A 7,277-nucleotide genomic window follows, 5' to 3' on the forward strand; every position below is an offset into this window, starting at 1 on the left:
TTGGCTTGAGGAAAAATGTTATGTAGCTTTTATGTATTTTACTAGGTTATGTGCTTAACTGGTCACATTTGTCCCTAACTCCATCTTATTTATATTGCATTTAAGCAATTTTATTTTTATTGAACCAAAAAAGTACCTCTTGGAATCATAGAACATTTACATTACGTTTTCTGGTATTTTTACTTCTGTCTGGATTGAATTCACCTATTAGCTAGCAACGCAAATTTAAAAAGCATATTTTGCTAATGAAAATATTACAATGAAACCGTGGGTTGTGCTTTCCTTAAGCCCAAGGGCAAGGAGAAAAAAGTGACTACATATGTATGTTTACCTAACATTTTTTGATACAACCATCCTTATTCTATTATACTGTGGAAATAGCCACTTAACAAGATATGTCCATAGAAGTGTATGGCTCCTTACTCTAACAATATAAATGACATTCTTCTTCCCTCTACTGCTCCATTTTTGTTTCTATTGTTGTAGATTTTTATTTTATACAATATAGAGTTTTAGTTTCAGATTAATAGCAATTTATCCTCTTAATTGAAAATTTGAAAAATACCAAAGTCTATCAAAAAGGAAAACAAACAAACAAAAAACAATAAAATGTAAAAGGCATCAGTAATATCTATCATCATATGAAGAAAATTATTGCTAATTTAGGTAGACTTTACAATTTAAAAACTAAATTTGAACAAATGTTAAATGTACAGTTCCGTTAATTTTTCCCAAATGAGCTCATCTTTGACACCACACGTTATTCATGATATATAATATCAACATTCAAAACCTCCTTTGGGACCCATGCTAATTAGTACTGCATCTGAGAATAAGCAATATTCTAGCTTCTAAGCCTAAATATACATTTTTAAATTTATATAAATGAAATCACACTCCATTTTCATGCCTGGATTCTTTTGACATTATTATATTTTTAAAGATTCATCCATTTATTGTGAGTAGTTGCAGTTTGTGATTTGATTCCATATATGAAATTACTGTAATTAATAAACATTTAGGTTACTTTTAACATTTGGCCCTTTATGAGTTATGCTGCTATAAACATGTTTGTGCATGTCTGTTGGCAAACAAATACACATTCCTTTAGGGACAATATGTAGATAAATTATAAATTATGTCTATGCTCAATTTTTTAAAAGATACTGTCAAATAATTTTCCAAAGTATTTGTGCCAATTTATACTCTCACCAACATGTAAGAGGATTCCAGCTGCTTTATACCTTTATCAAAACTCAGTATCATCTGTCTTCCAATTTGGCCATTTCGGTACGTATAGGTAGTATCTACTTGTGTTTTCAATTTATGTAGTTTTTCTTATTGAGGACAAATTGGGTAACCACATTTTTATATGGTTATTTATCCAGCACTGTTTATTTAAAGTGTCTTTATTTACTCACTGCCTTTTAAGGTCATTTTGTAATACCAGTGATAATACTGACAGGTGTGGGTCTGTTTTGGAATTTAAAAGAGTATATTACTTCTTTCATGTATAGTCTTGTCTACGACTAATACTAAAGTATCTTTATTATTCGAACTTTATAGTAATTCTTGATACCTTGTAGTTTAGGTACTCCAGTGAATACTGCTTGATTTCTACGAAATTTTAATAACTTTGATTTCTATGAAATTTTAATATGTTTCTCAATTCCTAATTTTTTATTTCAACTTTTATTTTAGATATAGATGGTATATATTCAGGTGTATTACATAGGTATATTGCACCCAGATAATGAGCATAGTACTCATTAGGCAGTTTTTCAGCCCATTATCCCCTCCCTATCTCCCCCATCTAGTAGTCCACAGTGACTATTGTTCCCATGTTTACAACTATGTGTAATCAATGTTTAGTTCCCATTTATAAGTGAGAGTATGTGTTATTGGCTTTCTGTTCCTGTGTTAATTTGCTTAGGACAATGGCCTCCAGCTGCCTCCATGTTGCTGCAAATAACATAATTTCATCTTTTTTTATGGCTGCATGGTATTCCGTGGTGTATATGCAGCACATTTTCTTTATTGAATCTACTATTGATGAGTATCTAGGTTGAAAACATGTCTATGTTATTGTGAACAATGCTGCAATGAACTTAGGAGTTCCATCTCTCTTTTTGGTATAAAGATCTATTTTCTTTTGGGTATATATGCAGTAATGGGATTGCTGGGTTGAATGGTAGTTCTATTGTAAGTTCTTTAAGAAATCTCCAAACTGCTTTTTGCAGGGTCTGAACTAATTTACATTTCCACCATCAGTGTATAAGCATTCCTTTTTCTCCACACCCTTGCAAGGATCTGTTGTATTTTGACTTTCTAATAATAATCATTCTGACTTGTGTGAGATGGTATCTCATTGTGGTTTTGATTTACATTTCTCTGATAATTAGTGATGTACATCATTGTTCTCACGTATTTGTTGGTCACTTGTATGTCTTCTTTTGAAAAGTGTCTGTTCATGCCCTTTGCCCGTTCTTCAGTGGTGTTATTTGTTTTTTGCATGTTCAATCTTATGGATTCTGAATATTAGACCAATTAGACCATTGTCAGATGCATAGCTTGAAAATATTTTCTCCATTATTTAGGTGATCTGTTTACTCTGTTGATAGTTTATTTTGCTGTCCAGAAGCTCTTTAGTTTAATTAGGTCCTACTTGTATGTTTGTTGCAATAGCTTTTAGGGACTTAGCAAAAAATTATTTGCCAAGGCTGATGTCAAGAAGTGTATATCCTAAATTATCTTCTAATATTCTTATACTTTGAGGTCTTACATTTAAATCTTTAATCTTTAAATCTTCACTCCATCCTGAGTTGATGTTTATGTATGGTGAAAGTAAGCATCCAGTTTTAGTCTTCTGCATATTGCTAGCTAGTGGTCCCGGCACCATTTATTGAATAGTGTGTACTTTTCCTATTTTTATTGGTCTAATTTAATATCAGATGGTTGTAGGTGTGTAGTTTTATTTTTGAGTTCTCTATTCTATTCCATTTGTCTACGTGCTTATTTTTGTACCAGTAACATTCTCTTTTAATTACTGTAGCCTTGTGGTATAGTTTGAAGTTAGATAATGTAATGGTTCTGTCTTTATTCTCTTTGCTTAGAATTACTTTGGCTATTCAGGCTCTTTTTCGGTTTCATATAAATTTTAGAATAGTTTTTTTTTTCCTAATTCTGGAAAGAATGACATTGGTAGTTTGATAGGAAGATCATTGAATCTGTGAGTTGTTTTGCGCAGTATGATCATTTCAACGATATTGATTTTACTAATCCATGAGCTCCGAATGTTTTTTCCATTTATTTGTGTCATCTCTGATTTTTTTCAGCAGTGTTTTAGAGTTCTCCTTGTAGAGATCTTTTATCTCCATGGTTAGCTGTATTCCTAGTTATTTCATTTTCTTCATAGCTATTGAAAATGGGTTTGTGTTCCTGATTTGACTCTCAATCTGGATGCTTTTGGGGTATAGAAATGCTACTAAATTTTGTACATTGATTTTTTTATCCTGAAATCTTATTAAAATTGTTTATCAGTTCTAGTAGCCTTTTGGTGGGGTCTTAAGATTTTTCTAGGTATAGAATCATATTGTCAGTGAAGACAGATAGTTTGATTTCTTTTTTTTTTTTTTTATTTGGATGCCTTATTTTTTTCTCTTGTCTGATTGCTCTGGCTAGGACTTGCAGTACTATGTTGAGTAGGAGTGGTGAGAGTGGACATCTTTGTCTTGTTCCGATTCTCAAGAGGAATGGTTCCAGATTTTCCCCATTCAGTGTGATATTGGCTGTGGATTTGTCATAGATGGCTCTTATTATTTTGAGGTATGTTTCTTCGTCCATTAAGAGTTTGTTATGTAAGGATATGAGATTTTCTTGAAAGTTTTTACTGTGTCTATTGAGATGATACTAGTTTCATTGTTTTTAATTCTGCTTATGTGGTGAGTCCATTTATTGATTTGCATATACTGAAGATGGTTATTAACATGGGTATAGATCACTTCTGGTCAATTTGGATCTGTACCAAATCAAGGCAGATATGTAAACTAAATACACCACAGTCATTGATATGGTTTGGATCTGTGTCCCTGCCGATATCTCATGTCGAATTGTAAACCCCAATGTTGGAGGTGGGGCCTGGTTGGAGGTGAATTGAATCATAGGGGCAGTTTTGCAGTTTCTCATCGTTTAACACCATCCAGACTTGATGCTGCCATCGTGATAGTGAGTTCTTGTGAGATGTGGTTGTTTAAAAGTGTAGGGTACCTCCTCTCTGTTTTTACCTCTTGCTCTGGCCATGTGAAGTGCTTGCTTCCCCTTCAACTTCTGCCATAATTGGAAGCTTCCTGATGCCAAACAGATGGTGCCATGCTTCTTGTACAACCTGCAGAATAGTGCAGTCTCAGGTATTTCATTACTGCAGTGCAAAAACGGACTAATACAGTCATCTTCTAGTTTACCACAGTCCTTAAACAATGTCCTCTGAAGTCTGAAATTGGATCCTAGGGTGATATTGATAGCTCACCCTTAAGAGATGCTACACTTATAGTGTAGGTTGCCTCAGTGCCAAAAGGGTGGGAGGAAATCTTCACTGAGAGTTAAAACTTCTACATGAGAGTTAAGGGCTGACTGTGGAGCTCACATATTTGTATGTCTCCTTTCTCTCTGGAATTTTGGACCCTAATATTCGACTTCTGTAACCCTTATATCCAATTGTTATGAACTCAAGTCTGTGAGACTGTTCAAAGCACTGCTTTTACTTATCATACTACTCTTCTCTGCCAGGATTATTAAACTTTTGCTCTAAGCCAAGCATTCGGAAATAGGTAGGAATTGCAGGCGCAGGAAGTTGAGATTGACTAACATAAATTAACCATATTCTTTGCATCTAGCCTCTCAAGACTTGCCTGCATCAATAGATCTCACATATCATGAAACAGATGATTTTGTTATTGTCATTTGCTTCTGTATCACTTCTCAGATGGTTAGTACTGAGTGACAACTTGATTGGATTGAAGGATGCAATGTATTGATCTTGGGTGTGTCTGTGAGGGTGTTGTCAAAGGAGATTAATAATTGAATCAGTGGGCTGGGAAAGGCCGACCCACCCTTATTCTGAGTGGGCACAATCTAATCAGCTGCTAACATAGATAGAATATAAAGCAGGCAGAAAAATGTGAAAATACTAGGCTGGCCTAGCCTCTCAAGCTACATCTATTTCCCGTGCTGCATGTTTTCTGTCCTCAAACATCAGACTCCAAGTTCTTCAATTTGGGGTCTTGGATGGGCTCTCCTTGCTCCTCAGCTTGCAGATGGTCTATTTTGGGACCTTGTGATTGTGTGAGTTAATATTTCTATCCCTCTAGAGAACGCTGACTAATACAGATTTTGGTACCAGTAGTTGTTCTAGAGGAAGAGAATATTAAGGATAGAGTTCTTTCATTGTTTTGGGGGTTTCTGGAGGTGGCTGCTTCATATGATTAGACCCCAAAATGCTAACAACTCTACTTCTAATAGTATGGAGAACACTGATAATCCTTGGCATGAACCGTTTAGAGATTTATGCAAAATAAATGCATTTGACACTCCCAATTCACCGCTCATGAGAGGCAAGGAGTTTAGGTGCTCTTTACCTAATACCTTTCACCATATGTGGAGAACCACAGAACATAATGAAACTAGTTCGTGGCTCCTAAGTTTACTGAACAAAGTGATGAAAAAAAATGATGAACTCAGGGCTTCTATCTCCCAGCTTCAGAAGAAGATACTGAGCCTCAAATCTGCTAAGATTGCCCTGAGTGAGAAATCTCATCTCCTGTAGAGAATAGCTGAGATTGTGGAAAAGCAGAAACAAGGTCTTATCATGAAAGTGGCTGACCTGCAACAAAAGGTTCATGCTCGGCCTTGCCAGGTGTCTGCTGTCCAAGTGAGGGCATTGATTGGAAAAGAATGGGAACCTGCAACTTGGAATGGGGATGTGTGGGAGGACGCTTAAGAAGCTGAAAACACTGGGTTTGTAAACTCTGATAAACCTTGTTTGCCAGAAGAAATAGCTTCCCCATCCCCAGTAGTGACAACATCCCCTCTCTGACCCATGCTGCCATCAGGCTTTCCACCCTTGTCTGAGAAGATAAACCTTGCACCGCCTGAGGCAACAGTAATGCCTGAGGCAGTTACCAGGCAAGATAATGTTGATTCTCCTCAGGACCCATCCCTAACACCACTTTTTGCTTCTAGACCAATAACTAGACTGAAGTCCTAGTGGGCCCCTGGATGTGACATTCAGAGGCACATCTGGGTGACATCTGGGTGAACTCACTATCACCCATGAGAAGGTGCACTAGACTTGCAAAGAACTGCTTGAGTTTTCTAATTTATGGAAGAAAAAATCTGGAGAACACACATGGGAGTGGATATTAAGGGTGTGGGATAATGTTGGAAGGAGCATAGTGTTGGATCAGGCTGAATTTATTGATTTGGGCCCACTAGGGACTCCGCATTTAATGCTGCAGCTTGGAAAGTTAAAAAAAAGGTGCTAATAGTTTATGTGCTTGGCTAGCTGAAATATAGATTAAAAGATGGCCCGCTGGGGACAAGCTGAAAATGCCTGATCTTTCTTGGTGTAATGTAGAGGAAGGGATCCAAAGGCTTAGGGATATTGGAATGGTGGAATGGATTAGTCACTTTAGACCTATTCATTCCAGCTGGGAGGGTCCAGAAAATACACCCTTAACCAATGGCTGGTGAAATAGATTTGTGAGAGCAACACCTGCATCTTTGAAGAGACCTGTAATTGCTCTTCTCTGTATGTCACATCGAACAGTGGGAACCACAGTCACTCCACTACAATATTTAAATTCAGTGGGAATAACTGGATCCTGAACTGTCAGAGGCCAAGTGGCGGCACTCAACCATCAAGGGCAAAGTGTGTGTGGCTACCGTAATGGACAGCAGAGGCAAAGCAGCAATCAGAATAGTCTGACTTGTGTAGAGCTCTGTCATTGGCTAATTAATCAAAATGTTCCTAGAAGTCAAATTCATAGAAAGCCTTTCGGAATCAATACTTAATTTATATAAGCAGAAAACTTCTCAATCAAATGGACAAAAAACTAATTTGAATTATAGAAGCAGAGACCCATGGCCCCTCAAGAAATTTCCAGACTTGAGCCAGTTTACAGACCCAGAACACCTTGAATGAAAGACAGGCAGTGTCCTCCTAAGGAAGGACTCACTACACTACCAACAATTTATGCAGTGAATCTTACTCCCATCCTTCC

The sequence above is a fragment of the Homo sapiens genome, chromosome 5, assembly GCF_000001405.40.
Source record: "Homo sapiens chromosome 5, GRCh38.p14 Primary Assembly".
NCBI lineage: Eukaryota > Metazoa > Chordata > Mammalia > Primates > Hominidae > Homo > Homo sapiens.